At 41.9% G+C, this 17549-nt stretch overlaps 1 protein-coding gene across 1 annotated transcript, besides 6 other annotated features; it reads right to left on the bottom strand.

Moving 5' to 3' along the window:
- Window positions 1-1403: 1403 nt before the first annotated feature.
- On the bottom strand, window positions 1404-15919 carry EIF3F (eukaryotic translation initiation factor 3 subunit F). Its single transcript, NM_003754.3, has 8 exons — window positions 15540-15919; window positions 11405-11475; window positions 11093-11172; window positions 10232-10369; window positions 8739-8830; window positions 8138-8274; window positions 7889-8002; window positions 1404-7311 (listed from the first exon to the last, which is right to left on the bottom strand). Exons 1-8 carry the CDS (start codon window positions 15901-15903, stop codon window positions 7234-7236), a joined length of 1074 nt encoding a protein of 357 aa, NP_003745.1. The 5' UTR covers window positions 15904-15919; the 3' UTR covers window positions 1404-7233.
- Window positions 7373-8572: an enhancer, noted in NCBI's record as "CDK7 strongly-dependent group 2 enhancer chr11:8016231-8017430 (GRCh37/hg19 assembly coordinates)". NCBI's record gives its function as "activates an origin of replication core promoter dependent on BRD2, BRD4, P300/CBP, MED14 and CDK7 cofactors, with strong dependence on CDK7, by STARR-seq in HCT116 cells {active_cell/tissue: HCT116}" and the evidence as "EXISTENCE:reporter gene assay evidence [ECO:0000049][PMID:35650434]".
- Window positions 15143-15681: an enhancer, noted in NCBI's record as "H3K27ac hESC enhancer chr11:8009122-8009660 (GRCh37/hg19 assembly coordinates)". NCBI's record gives its function as "activates a minimal SCP1, AML or CMV promoter by ChIP-STARR-seq in naive H9 embryonic stem cells {active_cell/tissue: H9 hESC(naive)}" and the evidence as "EXISTENCE:reporter gene assay evidence [ECO:0000049][PMID:30033119]".
- Window positions 15625-15674: an enhancer, noted in NCBI's record as "active region_4380". NCBI's record gives its function as "activates an Ori minimal core promoter by ATAC-STARR-seq in GM12878 lymphoblastoid cells {active_cell/tissue: GM12878}" and the evidence as "EXISTENCE:reporter gene assay evidence [ECO:0000049][PMID:35858748]".
- Window positions 15682-16221: an enhancer, noted in NCBI's record as "H3K27ac hESC enhancer chr11:8008582-8009121 (GRCh37/hg19 assembly coordinates)". NCBI's record gives its function as "activates a minimal SCP1, AML or CMV promoter by ChIP-STARR-seq in naive H9 embryonic stem cells {active_cell/tissue: H9 hESC(naive)}" and the evidence as "EXISTENCE:reporter gene assay evidence [ECO:0000049][PMID:30033119]".
- Window positions 15682-16284: a biological region, named in NCBI's record as "H3K27ac hESC enhancer GRCh37_chr11:8008582-8009121".
- Window positions 16105-16284: an enhancer, noted in NCBI's record as "active region_4379". NCBI's record gives its function as "activates an Ori minimal core promoter by ATAC-STARR-seq in GM12878 lymphoblastoid cells {active_cell/tissue: GM12878}" and the evidence as "EXISTENCE:reporter gene assay evidence [ECO:0000049][PMID:35858748]".

Below are 17549 nucleotides of genomic sequence, written 5' to 3'. Positions count from 1 at the left end.
GGTGTGATCACCCTGAAAGGCACCCCTGCCCTCTCTTCTGAAGCTTCTGGATGCTCCTTCAGCTATCTTGGTACCAACATGTCTTCACAGACCATTCTCTTGGTCTCTTCATTGTGTCTGGGCCACAGCTTACCTCTGCCTTGTTCAGCCTAGTCTCACTTCCAGGTATACCTCTTGGGCATCCTGTAAGCTCTATTCCAGGGCTCTGGTTCCATTTCCTCAGTGAAATGCCTTCTCTAGGCTCTTATAGCAGTTTACAATCTCAGTTCCAGAAAAGACGTCCTGCTTTTGGCTTTGACTTGAACAAGTTAAGCTTCCTGAGAGGTGGTCAGGGTCTCAGTTCTTCTGTCCTTCACTTCTCAGAAGAGGGTCAAAGCCTCCAGGCTCTGAGCAGCCTCTAAGGAAAGAAGGCAGGGTTGGATTTTGCACTGGGGCCCTGAAGTGTTACTCAGGAGGTTGAACAGGGAGTGGAGGAGGCAGGGTAAAGAGCTGTGAAGTGGAGGGGTTGAGGCCTGGGAGCAGCCCCATGATGGAGCATGGGGCACTCTGGAAGCAGATAAATTGGGTGACTCCTAGTTCTTGTTCATTTCTGAGCCATTTCATATACAAATGAAAACCCATGTGGAGGCCTAATTTTCTGGGCACATGGTAAATTAGTATGTACATCTTCCCAAGATAAAGGTCTACCCTCTAATTTTTAATGAAATATTATATATGCTTACAGAAAATTATAAATAATAACAAGTACTTATGTACTTAATATTACGTCATATTTACTTCATATCTTATTTTTTATAGACAGGGTCTTGCTAAGTGGCCTAGGTTGGAGTGCAGTGGCTATTCACAGGCGTAAACATTGTGCACCACAGCCTTGAACTCCTGGGCTCAAAGGATCCTCCGTCCTCAGCCTCCCCAGTCTCTGGGACTACAGGTGTGCACCACTGCTCCTGGCCATATCTTATTTTTTAAAGGAAAGCCATTACAGATATAATTGAAACCACGTCTGCATCCCTTGCCAATACTGTTCCCTCTCTTCCTCTTTTACTCTCCAGAAGTAGTATCTTAAATTTGATTTTATCATTTTTCGCATGTTTCCTACTTTTTTTTTGAGACGGAGTTTTGCCCTTGTTGCCCAGGCTGGAGTGCAGTGGCGTGATCTTGGCTCACCGCAACCTCCACCTCCTGGGTTCAAACGATTCTCCTGCCTCAGCCTCCCAAGTAGCTGAGAGTACAGGCATGCGCCACCACACCTGGCTAATTTTTGTATTTTTAGTAGAGATGGGGTTTCTCCATGTTGGTCAGGCTGGTCTCAAACTCCTGACCTCAGGTGATCTGCCCACCTCGGCCTCCCAATATTTCCTACTTTTTATAGTATATGTAAAAATATAAGGTATTGTTTCATGTTTTTCATGTTTTTATATTTTTATATATTTTTTTGAAAAATTACATTAACAGCATAAAATTCAAAAGTTATACAGAAGAAACAATAAGAAGTAAATCTTTCGTCCTGTCCTGTGCCCCATCTAGTACCTTAAGACAATCAGTGATAGTAGTTTCTTGGCTGTACCTTCACAAATATTCTAGGTATTTATATTATTTATTTTCCCGTACACAACAACAGCATATTATAGACAACATTCTCTCCTGGCTTTTTTCACTTACTCTTTATCCATATTGATATATAGAGGACTGTCTCATTCTGCTTAACAGCTGCATAGTATTGTGTTTTATGGATATATCATACTTTGTTTAATTTCTATTCTGGTAATAGTCATTTGGGTTGATTACCATCTTTACGCTATGATAACCAAGTATTTCAGTACTTATCTATGTATTCATTACATTGTGTCATAACGAGACCAGTTTATTTGTAGGATATATAATGAGGAGTGGAATTCCTGGGTTAAGGGCATGCATATTTGTAATTTTGACAAACACAAAATTACATAGAGAGGGCTGTACCAACTTATATGTCTACCAGCAATCTGTGCCTGTGTCACGTTTCCTCTTACTCTGGCCATTCCAGTGTTAGCAACTTTTAAAATTTGCGAATCTGATTTTTAAAAATGACATCGTTTTAATTTATGCTTTATCAGTGAGATCAAGCATCTTTTCACATTTGTGTGTCTGTGTGTGAGCTGTCTGGTCATATCCTTTACACACTAATGTATCAAATTACTGGCCTTAAAAAACTGTAGGAATTCTGGGACAAGAATATTAGCCCTTTTTTTGATATGAACTGCAAATATTTTCCCAGTTTTATATTTGTATTGACTATTTGTGTATGTGTGTAATTTGACACTCAGATTTTAAAAATGTTGCTAAATTTGTCAGTCTTTTAAAATAACTCCTGGATTCTCAGTTCTTAGAAAGTTCTTCCTCACTCATAAATCATTAAAAACACATTGCTGTGTTTTTTCCCTCATATTTATGGTTTTTTTTTCAGACAAGTTTTTATTCCATGAGCAACTTATTTTGGTGCAGGTAACGAAGTAGGAATCCAACATTGTTTCCAAATTACCACTCATTCGCTCTTAAGTAATCTATCTTTACTTGCTTGAAAACACAACTTTATCATATTCTAGAATTCTGATATCTTTAAATTGACAAAAACTGTATGTATTTTGTACAATGTGATGTTTTGATATATGTACACATTGCGAAATTGATTACCACAATCAAGCTAGTTACATCCATCACCTCACATATTCATTTCTCCTGGTGAGATCTACTCCTAGCAATTTTCAAGTATACATTAACTAGTCACCCTGCTGCACAACAGGTCTCCGGAACGTACTACTCCTGTTTAACTGAAACTTTGTACCCTTGACCAACATCTCCCCATTTATCCCCTCCCTCCAGTCCATGAAACCACCTTTCTACACTCTGCTTGTGAGTTCAATTTTGTGATTCCATATCCAAGTGAGATCATGGCTTATTTCACTAGCATAGTGTCCTCCAGGTCCATCCATGTTGTTGTAAATCAGTTATTTCCTTCTTTTAAGGTTAATAATATTCCATTGTGTAGATGTACCTTTTTTTTTTTTGAGATGAAGTCTCACTCTTCTCACTCTTGTCGCTCAGGCTGGACTGCAGTGGCGGAATCTCAGCTCACTGAAATCTCCACTTCCTGGGTTCAAGCCATTCTCACTTCAGCCCGAGTAGGTGGGATTACAGGCGCCCTCCAAGATGCCTGGCTAATTTTTGTATCTTTTGTAGAGACGGGGTTTCATCATGTTGGCCAGGCTGGTCAAGAACTTCTGACCTCAAATGATCCACCTGCCTTGGCCTCCCAAAGTGCTGGGATTACAGGCGTGGGCCACCGCGCTCAGCCCTATCTATCTTCTGTTGATGGACACTTAGGTTGATGTCTTGGCGATTGTGAACAATGCTTCAGTGAACGTGGAAGTATCTCTTCAACATACTGATTTCATTTCCTTTGGATATATACCCAGTAGTGGGATTGCTGGATCATATGTGTTTTTATTGAGGAAGCTCTACAAACTGTTTTCCACAATGTCTGTACTAATTTACATTCACACCAAGTGTAAAAGGGTTCCCTTTTCTCCATACCCTCACCAACGCTTGCATTTTGAGTCTACTGAACTATTTGGTTTTATGTTCTTTTATGGACCAGTACCATATTGCTTTAATTACACAGTTCTATAATATATTTTATATCTGGAAGGGCTAGTTTCCCTCTGCAGGGATTTTTTGGAGACATTTTTATTTTTCCATATACATTTAGAAACAGCTTGCCCAGTTCCAAAATAGCTCTTTGTATTTTATTGTAATTATGACAAATATGTAGTTTAACAGGGAAAATTAACACCTGTTAAAATAATGTTGAGTCTTCTTATTCAAGAACATGATATGCCTTCAAGTGATTACATCTCATGTTTCTCATTAGCATTTTCAAGTTTTCTTCCACCGTATCAACTGGGTAGTACTAATTTTTTAAAAACCCTCCTCCTTTTCACTTTTTTTCTTGAGAAAGGATCTTGCTGTCACCCAGGCTGGGGTGCAGTGGTGCGATCTCAGCTCACTGCAACCCCTACCTCCTGGGTTCGAGATTCTCCTGCCTCAGCTTCCCAAGTAGCTGGGACTACAGGTGCGTGCCACCACGCCTGGCTAATTTTTGTATTTTTTGTTTTTTTTTAGTAGAGACGGGGTTTTGCCATGTTGGCCACGCTGGTCTTGAACTTCTGGTCTTGATTAACCCATCTCAGCCTGCCAAAGTGCTGGGATTACAGGCATGAGCCACTGTGCCTGGCTCCACTTTATCTTCAATGTCTCTATTTCCTCTTGTTTAAATACAATGGCTAATAAGTCTAGAATAACGCTAAGTAATAACACCACACTATGGTCATGAGTTCAGGTTGGGCTATTTATAATATAATCAATACCTATGATGAAACCACTGTCCAACCTCAAACTAGATAATTGCTGATAACAATACAGACTTATTTTACTTGCCATCCTCTTCTCACCACCAAAGTAAACATTATTGGGAATTTTTATCATTCTTTTGTTTTTTATCATATATATAATATACACACACATAATAGTCAATTCTCATTTTTTGCAGACTCCGTATGTGTGAATTTACCTCTTGCTAAAATTTATTTCTAACTCCAGTATCAGTACTTGCTGGGCTTTTGCAGCCATTTGCGGACATGCAGCATGTGAAAAAATTTGAATTGCCTGCTCTCCATGTTCCCAGCTGAGGTGGAACAAGGCCTTCTTGTTTCAGTTCTTATAAACAAGTATCCTTTTCAGTCTATTTAGTGCCATGTCTTTTGCATTTTTGTGGATTTTGCTGCTTAAAGTGACCCCCACGCACAGTGCCAAGTGTTCCTAAGTGCAAGAAGACTGTGATGTGCCGCCTGGAGAAACTGAGGTAAGCTTCATTCAGGAATAAGTGTCGTGGGCTAAGTTCAGTGTTAATGGGTCAACCATATATACTAAGGTGTCTTCAAACAGAAACACATGTAACAAGTTTATGTACTGATGGGTTGATGAAACTGTGCCCAGAGGTTCATAGGAACCCAACCCTGTATTTCCCTTGGGAATAATGGTTCAGTACTCTCTAATTCAGTGTTCATGGTGACTTTATAAAACATAACTACTATAGATAATGAGAACAGACTATACATATATATATACACACACAGTCACCGTTTAGTATCCGTGGAGGATTGGTTCCAGAACCTTCCTTGGATATAAAAATCCTCTGATGCTCAAGTCCCTAATATGAAGTATTTGGATATAACCTGTGCATACCTTCTCATATACTTTTAAGTCATCTCTAGATTACTTATAATACCGAATACAGTATAAACACCATCTAATACTTTGTATTGTTTAGGGAAAAATGACAAGGAAAAATGTCTGTACAGGTTTAGTCCAGACACAATTTTCCCCCTCAATATTTTCAACCTGTAGTTGGTTGAGTCCATAGATGTGGAACCCACATATACAGACAGCCAACCGCATGTCTAAACAAGTTTCACTTGTTTTTGAACTTCTGGAGTATCATAATGTACATGTCTTCTGACACCAGCTTTTTTCATTCAACATTATTATTAACATTCACCTATATTGTTACTCACAGCTGCAGGACAACTTTATGTCCTTGTTTTAGATGTGTCTCCTGTAAACAGCATATGATTGGGGTTTGTTTTAATATTCAATTTTTCCTTGGGCTAGTTTAATACTTATACATTTATTGTAATTACTGATCTATTTGGACTTGTTTTGCCATCTTTTGTTTTATCCACCTTTTCTATGCTTATTTCTCAAATTTAAAATTTTGTTTCTTCCCTATTATCCCACCATCTCTCATCACTATTCATTGAGAGATTATATATACTTCTAGCAATTAACCTCGGAATTTTATCATGCATACTTAAAAAGACTAAGTTGATATTAACTGGCTACTCCCAAAAATGTAAGAACACTGAAACATTTTGACTCTGATTAACCTTCCCACCATGCTGTCTACTTTTAACCTACCTTTAACAATTTGGCCTGTCATTATCATTTTGCCGATAAGATCTGTTTACATTTCCCTACCTGTAAGAAATTATCTATCATTACTATCCACACTTTATGACTCCCATAACTTATATTTCCTGAGGTACATATCTCAGAACTGAGTTCCAGGCTGGGGTTCATGTTGCTTATTACTTTCAAACTATTCACCTTTAGGCATCATAGTATCTACCACTTATCTGTGCTTACTACATACCAGGTGATATTCTCCACAAGTGTTGATTAACCTGACATTTATTAATTCATGGAATCCTCATAATACCCTAATGGACTATGTATGTTTATGATCCATATCTTATGACTCTTATAATTTATCTTTCCTAAGGCTACACATACCTCAGAACTAGGATCCAGGCCTTTTTGATTCCCCATTGCCTTCACTCACCTTTTCACTCCAACGTATAATTTCCTGAGTTCTTGAATAATGACTTATTTCTAAGACACACAGTGGCGAGGCGGAACTCCAGGATACCAGAGGAAATGGATGTCTGAAGTTACACAGGCAAGTACTCTAGCCTACAAGGCCTCTGGGAAATGCCATCTAGTCTTTGCTTAAATTGAGCCACTGGCAGACCTCAGTATAACTCAAGGCTCTATCCTCGAGTTACAGATAGCACCTAAGAATTTTCTGAAGTTTTGGGGAAACCTCTTTAATCTTTAACCCACAGATCTTAATTCTGCCTCCCCGAACCAAAGTGGCAAAGAGCTCCATCTTACTATTAATGTATTTTAAGATAGTGACTACACACTCTACTCTTTTAGTTCAGATTAAGCATCCAATTTTCTTAGCTATTTTTTCTCCATGGATTCTTATTTTCATTTCCTGTAGAAATCACATGAATCCTCAAGAAAAGGTTGTTTTGCCAATGGACACCTTTCCATATTGAAAACCAAAAGAACAGTTTGGTAAAACAGTAACATGCCAAACACATAACCAACTTCTCTACCTACAATATTCACTTCCTAGTTTCTGTGTGATCTAAAACATTTTCCTCCCTTCCACCCGGCAATAAACTCACATAAGATGAAATTAATTTACAAAAGGTAGGCTCCGTTTATTAGAGTCACACACAACTGACTATCTCAGTGTGACTCAAGACCACAAAAAACCCATTTCTCCTTCACTTCTGAGTCCTGGGGTTAATACCTAGACCAGCAAGTGTACTGCTTGGGGTCCATTCACAGGTTTACAAGTTTTTCATTGAGTGCAATCTGTGACTGTGTGAGGTTGGCCAGGTAGGTCACCATCAAAAGGTCCTGGAAGACAAAGAATACACAATGAGTGGGGGGTTGGGTGGAAAGGGAGCAAAAAGGCTGGCTTTGGCCAGCTCTATGGTAGACACTGGGTATGAGGACAGCTGTGGATAAATGACAGCTAGGAGAGACTGAATAAAAGTCAAAAAGGTAGAAGACAGAAAGGAAATGCTTGAGAAGGCTTTCTTATCTCTACTGATACACTTATAGACTAGGGGTGCCTTAGCTGAAACCCATGGATGGAATATAGGGGGTCTGTGAACTCAGATGGGGGAAATAAGTAATTGCATTTTCATTAACCTCTGAATTTTAGTGTTTCTTTCCATCACGAATTTAGACAGTAAGTCACAGTAGTATCAGCAGTAAATGAGACAATGGAATCATGGGAGAAGGAAGGAAGTCTCCAACCACGCATAACACACCTCTTCCTTCCTCCCAACCTGGACTTCAGTGGGGCTATAGGTGAAGCCCTGTCTCTATCCTACTCCAGGTCACCTCACCCAACTCTTTTCACATTTGAGTGTATGTGCTGAGGTGGGGGAAGAAACCAGGCAAGAAGGGGCTCAGGAAGGGCACTCACATTGATGTTGCTGTTGAGCATGGTCTCAAAGTCATCGGGAACTATTTTCGGTACTTGGTTAACCAGGCTCATCAGGAAGCGGCCCACAGTATTGTCAGCTGACACCTTTCCAGACTGAGTACCAAAACAAAGACTCGATGAGGCAGTTAATTATAACCACTGAGCCCTACCATTTCATCAGCACATGCCTCAGTGATCCCAGGATAGAGAACTATGTCCTCCCCCTTTGTTTTTTCTTTCCCCTCTCACCAGTACATCCTCTGCATATTGCAACACTGTACTCAGGGCATCCTGGATGCGAGCTGATGCCCCTCCTACTTGCTGCAAGTCACTTGAGAGTCCAATCACTCTGTTGGGGCTAAAGCAGGTCTTCATGATCAGGTCAACTATGGAAGTTGGTTGGCAGGGTGGCAGCGGCAGTGGTGGGCAGTAAGAGAGAGAATTCAGTCATCCCACCAGGAAAGAGATGGTCTTAACGTCCTACTAACTCTGTTTCCCAACTCCCCTTAGACTCAGTCTGCTCAGTCACACTTCCTGCTGTGCCCTTATCAGCTTTTCTTCCTCCTAATAGAGCTCAACTCCTTTTACCTGGTATGCTCATCACCGGTTTTGATCTCATGTGAATGGTATGTGGCCTCTGGTGCTGATCATTTCCCACCTTTAACAGTTTCTCAAATAACTCCTTAAATCCCATTTATACAAGAGATGACTGTGACTTCTAGTCTTCACAAACCTTAGATCAATAGTCCCTTTTCAAACCACCCAAGGCCTCCGTCCATGTTGCAGACTAGCAGCCCCCTTCCCTGAAAATGCCTATGGCCTCTCGCGAGTGTATGGAAAGGTTACTCACCTCCGATGCGTTCAGTGTCGTAGTACGCGTATTTCACTGTCAGAGGCGTGAACATCACTCCCATGGTCCTCCCAGGGACTCCCATTAAAGTGCTGCGGAAGGAGAAGCCAAAGTAAACAGATGGCCTTGGGAGAGGGTTTCCATGTCTATTCTGGGCTGAGAAAGCAGATACAGCAGGAATATGGCTCTCAAGGTTCTGATAGAAAGGGTGGGACCAAATGAACCCCAGAGGTCTCATGGGAGCAAAAGTTACTTTCTCCCCTTAGCTTTTCCCACATACCAAACCCTTGATCTGTAAGGGGGGCCTTTGCATTTGGCCTGGTCCCTTTAGAGGATTACTTCACACACGGTGCAGTGTCAGTGACGAGAGGACAGGACTCAATTACCCCGTAGAGCTGGCTGTCTAGACAGCTACCTACCATGGAAAGGAGACAGAGACAAATCTTTTCGGGGACTACGCCCTTCATCAGCATTGAAAAAGGAAACCAACTCCTGCCCACCAAATTACATTGGGTGCTATAAGTCATCTCACTAAAGGTATTCTTTTTACTATGTCAATTATATACCTGGATCTATACTTTACTATGTCAACTATATATATCTTTCTCTATCTACATATATATACATATATATAGTTGGATCTTATATATATATTGTATATACTGGATCCATATATATATATATACTGGATCTTGAGGAGTCTGAAATACCTGGGAAGGTTAAGAAGTCAGGCAATGGCTAGTGCTTAGTGGTATGCCAACTGGCTCATAAAGACTTGGCATCCACCATCTTTGTCTTACTGTGTACTGTGTAAGAGTTAACTGGCTATGTCAGTGTCAGACACAGAACCAGCACAAAATCAACAGCCTGACAGATGCACTAACAGCTGCCTTCCCTTTGACCATGGTCTTTCCAACTACCACAGCTGCTTCCTCAGCATGCCACCAGGGCCTTTCCCAACATCCCCCATAACTGGCATTTTAACCACCTGCAAGCTCAACGTGTTCACTGTAATGTCATTGTCATTAAAACTGCACTCAATCCTGGGTTAATAAATGTGTTCAAAATAAGGACAGTCATCCTTATAATCTGTATTACCCTGAGCGCTGTGCTGAGTTCTAGAGATAATGACAAACTAATGGGTAATTCAGAAAAGTAATGAATGTGGTGAAGGATCATGACAAGAATACCATGTGATGATTGGCTGTAGGAACTATGGAATAGTTAGGTCCTACAAAAGATGACTTGACAGCTTGCTCAAATACTTAAAAGGGCAATGAGTAGAAACTGGAGTACAACTAGGATCAGCGGTAGAAATTACAGGAACAGATTTTGTTTCAGAGTGAAACCTTTAGAATAACTGTTGAGAGAGAGGAACAGGCTTCCTAAGGACACAGCAAGTTACACATGGAAGGAATTAACCTTGCTTGGGGTGGGGGAGGGATGGCATCTGGGCATGGTTTTATGCCCTTGTAGCCCAAGACTGTGGTCACCTGACGTAGGCTTTGATGCTCATGCGGCCGTTCTGGAGACTTGTGTCCACAGTGAGGTGGATGGGGTTGGGGGCCTCTCGGCTGTAGTACTCGTGGATCAGCACAGAGTGCTCTGTGATGTCATGGCCCGTAGCGTACCTGTGAAATGGAACACAGTGGTGGACTCCTGTCTATATGTGGCGTCAATATCAAACACAACAGTGGCATGGGTGTCTTCAGGGTACCGGACACTTCTACGGTAGGACACCTAGTGACACCAACTGCCAAGAGCAATACACACACCGAAAACTATGTCAAATAAAATCAAAGGCTGACTTAGTGCTGATGAAAAATTCCAAGTCACTTACAAGGTAATTCGAAATATCCTGGCCCCACAGGATCAGAACCACCAGCAAAACCCACTGAATTCACAGTTCCTACAGGTAACACACTTTCCTTTTGTTTTTTAGAGACAGGGTCGCACTCTGTCACTCAGGCTGGAATGCAGTGGCAAGGCATGATCATAGCTCACTGCAACTTCAAATTCCTGGCCTCAAGTGATCCTCTAGCCTCAGCCTCCTGAATAGCTAGGACTATAGGTGTGTGTCATCATGCCTGGCTAAGTTTTTAAAAAATGTTTTTGTAGAGACAGGGTCTCACTATTTTGTTCAGGCTGATCTTGAACTACTGGGCTCAAGTGATCCTCCTGCCTCAGCCTCCCAGCTGGGATTACAGGCATTGAGCCACTGCTCACAGTCAGTAATACACTTGCAATACTCTTGCCTCCAAAAGGAAGAGTATAAGATCCAGTCCAGTAGCAAAAGACACCGGCAATCACGAAGAGACCTTCCATTAACCCCAGCCCCCACCTCCCCAACTTACCAGCCCAGGATGAGCTCATTTGGAGAAACTTTTTTATGCAGTTCATACATATTCTTAGCAAATTCCATGTCAACAGCCACCTAAGAGGGAAGGCAGGAAAGCAAGCTAAGAAGCCAGAAGTCCAAAGAAAAATTGGTTAAAAAGGACAAGAGGCCACCCCCAATAAACAGAAGAGGCCCAGGAAGTACGTACAAATGGGAAGAAGCTCCTTGGCTACAGGAGCTCTAGTTATGAGTGTGGGAGGGACCGTGAGGGGAGCCGAGCAAATGAACAGCTAAAAACTGCAGAGGGACAGCTTGGATTCCCACTCACTTCATCTTCTGACTCATTGTGCGGCACTGAAAAGCAATTGGTGACCTCCACTGAGTGTTTGTCGACAGTTCCTGTGAAAGAGAGAATCGTCCATGTGTTATATAATCCTAGGGCTCCCAACAACCTCTGACTACTTTTGAAATGCTTTTGATGATCTCTTCAATGTCAATGAACACCTAACTGAACTCATTAGCTCCAAGTTTAGTCCGGTGCATCGATGGGACCAGAATTCTCCAGGGAACTGAAACTGTGGTGTGATCGCCAACTTCTCCCTCTAATCATCACCAAATAGGGTTTATTCTTCCTTTACAAGGTCTCCTTTTGCCTGTTACTCTCCACTACTAGCCTATTCCAGACCTTCACTCTACGGCCTTTTTTTTCAGCCTCTACACTTTCTCCCTGTAATTTAATCTGCAGAGCTACCTGGAATATTTTAATGGTTACATAGACTGCTAATATAGTGGCCAAGTTTCAGACACTGAGACGTCAGGAGCTTCATCTGTACCTCCCTTTAGCCATCTGGTCCCATGGTCAGTCTTAACCTTATCATCATCCAGAAATCTATCTGCGAACCTTAGAAGTCAGTCTTTTACCACAAACTTTTGTTCTAGTTCTGATACCTTTACTTCCATATTTCTTTTTTTCTTTTTTTTTTTTCTGAGACGAAATCTTGCTGTCGCCCAGGCTAGAGTGCAGTGGTGCAATCTCGGCTCACTGCAACCTCTGCCTCCAGGGTTCAAGTGATTCTCCTGCCTCAGCTTCCCGAGTAGCTGAGACTACAGGTGCGCATCACCACGCCCAGCTAATTTTTGTATTTTTACTAGAGACGGGGTTTCACCATGTTGGCCAGGCTGGTCTTGAACTACTGACCTCAAGTGATCTGCCTGCCTCAGCCTCCCAAAGTGCTGGGATTACAAGTGTGAGCCATGGTGCCCAGGCTGTATTTCTTTTATTTATTTATTTATTTATTTATTTATTTATTTATTCCCACTACATTTGTTTCTTGACCTAAGACCACTACGTTGAGTTTTCCATTCTCTTCTAATCTATTGGAACCTCCTACCCCAGGATTTAAAAGTTTCCCTCTCCACCAGAAACCACAGTGTTGTCTATATCTACCAGTGTTTATCTAATTCCAACTCACTATGGTTTCTGCTCCCTTCACTGAAACTATGTCCCTAAACCAAATGCACATATATCCTTTATCTTATTTGACCTCTCATCAGCGTTGAACAGACTTGACCACTTACTTCCCATCTTAAAACTTTCCTTCTAGTTTTCTTCCTACCTTTCTAATCTTGTTGGCTACTTCTTCCTGACTTTTTAGGTTTTTAGGGTTTTGTCTCTGTTCTCTTGTCTTTTTATTCAATGTTCCTTTTCTAGGCCAGGCCCTGATCTAGAAATGTTTTTTGTGAATAAAGTTTACACGCCAATTTTTTTATGGCTGCTTTCTTGCTACAAAGGCAGAATTAAGTAGTTGTGATAGAGACTGCACACAAAGCCTAAAATATTTACCGTCTGGACCTTTATAGAAAGTTTGCCAACCCCTGCTTTAGGTGATCTCATCCAATTTTATGGGTTCAATTACCTTCTATATTCCAATGACATAATTCCTAACCTGACATACTTGCCCACATCTCTTTTGCACTCCAGACCTTTAGTCAACCCCTACCTTCCCTTTCTTCTTTCACACTTAACCAAAGATGTAGAAGTCATCCCTGATATTTTCTTCTAATCCCTCACTTCTGATCACACCATGTCCTGTCAACTTTATTTCCTATCTCTCAACTCACTCATTCCAGAGTGATTTTTAATTCCTATTCAGTGTTAGCTGAAATGCTCAGGAGCTTCCCCAAAGAGCTTCAAATGAGGTTAGACTTTCATTTTGTCTTCTCAGGGATCCAGGTAATTCCCTTCACAGCACTTTACATTTGTAATTATTTAATACTTCTTAGGGCTCTGCCCTCTGCTAGCTTCATTTCCTGCTCTACCTCCTGTCACCTACATTCCTGTAATACTGAATGTTTCAGACAGTGGATTTACCAGGCTTTTTTATACTTCTTGTAGTTGCTTTAATGCCCAGCTCAAACGTCATCTTTTTTGTGAACTTTTCCCCAACCTTCTGAAATAGTTAAGTCTTCTGCATTTCCATGCCACCATGACACCCTTCTATTGGAACATTTATCATATTACATTCTAATTATTTGCATTTAAGAGTACACTTCTATCTTGAGTTTAAGGTTACAGGAGAGCTCACTTTATTACACTTTGAATTCTAAATACCTTAACAGTTTTATGGTACAAAAAAAGCACCAATGACTTCATTTAGACAAATGAAATGTTTTGTGTATATCTAAGGAAATAAGTTCATAGCAAGCAGAATCTATTCTTTATTCTTCTGTAAGTATTGCCTCTATAACACCTATAGCACTGTACCATGATTCCAGTCTGGAAGAGGATCTGAGGATGTAGATTAGATTATACCTGGTCTGACTGGATCACTGGAATATTTGGGGCGCTAAAGCATAAATCATGGGTAATGAATTAGTTTCTTTAAATAGCTTTAGCGAGCTTGGAAAATTAGAAAGTGCAGCCAAAAGAGTAAGTATTTGCTGAGTGTCAAGTCAGTGATGCAAAAATAATTTATTACAGAAGCTCAGAGCAGGGCACAGTTACAGAACACCATCATGCTGTGGAAGGTTAAGAATGGAGTGAGGGTCCGGGTATGGGATGGAGGACCGGCACTTAATGCTGTTGCTGGGAACGTGGAAGGTAGGTAGAGCTTAAACAAATGAAGGACAGCAGGAAAAGCACTTGTGGCAAAGAGAACGCAAAAGCTTGGTCTGAGAAAAGACAAGCAATGTTCAGAAGATATGAATTTAAGTTTCTGTAAAATGCTATACCGTCAAAGATAGATAAAGGAGAGAAAATGTGTGTCTGTATGCATTGGGGTGGTCCAGGCCTGATGTGAATGGCAACTAACAGCTGTACCTAATGTGTGCCAGCATAGTCAGAAGTTTTTAATTTAGCTCTCACAAAGACTAAGTCTAAAGTAGCTCCTGACAGAACAGATTTTAGGTAATCTGCCCCAAGTCACATGGCAAATGTTTTGTGAGGTCTGCTTACAAATCTTGTCTGCTTTGCAATATACCAACTGTCTTCTATGGTGTAAGAACTAGTAGATGTTCAAGAGTATGAAAGAGAAAGAATGCTTGTAAATAAAGTGGATTCACAAAGCTATTTAAAATCTGGCACTAAGATGGAATGGAAACGAATTTCATGGGACCAGCATAGTCTCCAGAAAGGAATTTATTATCAACAATCCCTCTTTAGTGCTTTTCCATTTTACAAACTACTTTAACATAAAATATCTATTCCCCAAATTTGGAACACAGGCAGAGAATGGGTCATTTTTCGACCTGAAGGTTAAGGGCAGAAATATAAACAGATAATACAACTGTTTGCGTCCAAATGCAAAATGGGGGAACAGGGTTTCTCACATTAGGTACTAATATTAGGGGACACTGAGGGACACAGATCAGGCTCAGACGTTTAGGACAGCAGAACACTATAAAATCCCAAGCGGGTTCCAACCAAACCGGTTTACTTGTTGGGAGGAATGTTTTTTTACAAACGTCCCCACTCCTTTGACAACTGGTTAGAAAACTTTGTCAATACCTGGAAAACGATGACATTTAGTCAGTGGATAAGGGAGAAATATGTGGTCACTGGTATAGGGAGTCAAGGGTTCCTGACTTCCCACTCGGCGTGTGAACTCATTTTTGGTAGATGCAGCCCATCATACTTGCCATAAACTGCTGTTTATGTAAAATGTAAACCACTGGCATAAATGTAAACCACTGGCATAAAATATTCAGTAAATGACACAACTACTCCTTGTGTATTTTATGTCGCTTAAAGTGACAGCAATCCGGCAGGAGAGAGAGGAGAGATGCAAGTGCTTGAGAAGATAAGTCACAGCAAAAGGTAGGATGCAGATATAGATTAAGAGGTCATTGGGGATGGGAGGAAAGGACGGTAGGACACCAGGAATTAAAGAATTAATGAGTTAGGGGAGTGAGATAAATGAGAAGTGGGAGGAAGAAAAGAATGTTAACTTTCTCTGACCACTCACCCAACAGGGTCCCGATAACTCGGGCAGCACCCTCGTTGCGTCTCTCGTAGCTGTCCACAATGGAGGCCAAAATGACTGGGTGCAGCCTGACCACGCGGCCGCCGGGGAAGGGCCCTGGAAGAGCAGGACCAGGCAGAGCGGGCGCTGGGGTCTGCGCTGGAGCTTGCGCTGAGGCCGGGGTCTGGCCAGGAGCCGCAGTTGCAGCCGCTGCTGCCGCAGGGTCTGAGGATGAGGCTGGAGCCGCAGCGGGAACCGGAGCCGCAGCCGGTGCTGGCGTTGGCGCTGGAACTGAGGCTGGGGCCGCCGCCGGGACTGGGGTTGGCGTGGCCGGAGGAGCACTTACTGGTACCGCCGGTGTGGCCATCTTGTCGAGAAAGAAGGAGGCGGAAGCGGAAATGACAGCATTCATGAATATCAGGAGCTTGATAGGCTGAATATACACCACGTGAGCTAGAGCTTTTTGCTGATTGGTTACTGGTGATACTTCTCGGAGCACTGAAATAGTCCCGCCGTTGGTAATTTCTTCTGGAATTTGTGCGCTCTGCTTTTGGCCCGAGGAGCACTCAGGAAACCCTGGGCTAAGTAGTTCCGGGTAAAACTTGGGACGGCGTTCGAAGAGAAACACTTTGTGCAGCTGCCGCCAGGTGGAACCAGAAAGCAGCGCGGAGGTCGAAATTCGTGTTTTAGACTTAAATGAGATAATGGATGTCAAAGTGCCTTTAAAAAGGATTTTAAGGCCAGGCGCGGTGGCTCACGCCTGTAATCTCAGCACTTCGGGAGACCGAGGCGGAAGGATCGTTTGAGCCCAGAAGCTCGAGGCTGCAATGGGCGAGAAGGAGAACTTAGCTGGATTTCTCCTGCTGCTTTGAGAAGAGACTGGAGGGTGAGGGGAGGTGAGGAGAGGGAGGCGAGAGAGGGAAAAGCAGGGAGACCTGCTGGGAGGCCACTAGGTAATCTAAGTGAGAGATGATGGTGGCTGGGACCAGGCTGGTAGCAGTAGAAGTTCTGAGAAGTGGGAAGATTATGGATATATTTTGAAGGTAGTTTCAATAGGGTTTCCTGAGAAATTGTATATGAGGTGTGAAAGAGAGGAGTCAAGGAGGACTGCAATTTTTTTTTTTTTTTTTTGTACTGAGCGATTAGTAGGATGAAGTCACCATCAATTGAGATAGCAAAAGCTGTAGGTAGAGCAGGTTTTGGGGAAAAGATCCTGATTTCATTTCTGAATGTGTCACCTTTGAGATGTCCATTACACATTCAAGTGGAGTTGTAATAAGGTGTATAAACTAGTCTGTACTTTAGGAGAGGATTATATGAGGTATTGCCTTGTAAAGCTCTTAGCACATGCCTGATATACAGTAGTTATTAAGTCATAGCTATTATCACTATGTGATGGAGGGAGCTCTGACCATAACCCACTGTGTAACTTGGGGCAATCTACAAGTTTTTTCTGAGCCTCAATTTCCTTCTTGGTATAATGGGGTGATAACATCTGCTTGTAAAGACAAAACAAAACACCAAAAAAACTGTCAACTCCCTTAATTAGGTCAAGTCCTAGTGTCCAGCTGGCAAGTGGATAGGTGAGGTTGAACTTCTTATCCCTGATTCTGTGCCCAAGAGTTGATTTCTCCTTGGAGAAATCTTCCATTATTAGAATTCACATGACGCTGCTCCCCTGTAAATGCTCTGTGTAGACATGCATTCTTTCTTTCACCAAAACAAAGGTGAACAGCCAAACAGAAGAAGATTGAAAAGTAACTCTTGGATTTGATGACCTGGAGTCTTTAGCAACCCTAGTAGAGCAACGTCAGTGGGACTGAGGGTGGGGTGGGCACAGAAACTAGAAATCTGGTGTGAGAGAATGGCCAGTCTGAACTGAAAGCAGCAAGTGCCAGCTTTTCTTTCAGGAAGTTTTCTGGGAAGGAAAGGAGACATTTAAGGAAATAGCCAGGGAAACAGCAGGATTGAGAGGCAGCCAATTTAGGATGGCAGTGTTTCAAGTATATTTTA

This window comes from Homo sapiens, chromosome 11 (assembly GCF_000001405.40).
Source record: "Homo sapiens chromosome 11, GRCh38.p14 Primary Assembly".
In the NCBI taxonomy this organism is placed as follows: Eukaryota; Metazoa; Chordata; class Mammalia; order Primates; family Hominidae; genus Homo; species Homo sapiens.
The sequence above is the reverse complement of the archived record's forward strand: the minus strand, read 5'-3'. Positions and strand labels throughout refer to the sequence as shown.

Excerpts from the sequence above, each read along its gene's own strand:
- EIF3F (NM_003754.3), bottom strand. The coding sequence starts at position 15,903 with ATGGCCACACCGGCGGTACCAGTAAGTGCTCCTCCGGCCACGCCAACC. Across the intron at positions 10,370-11,092 it reads AATGAGCTCATCCTGGGCTG|GTACGCTACGGGCCATGACA; the intron begins GTAAGTTGGGGA and ends TCCATTTCACAG. Across the intron at positions 8,831-10,231 it reads AGCATCAAAGCCTACGTCAG|CACTTTAATGGGAGTCCCTG; the intron begins GTGACCACAGTC and ends CTCCTTCCGCAG.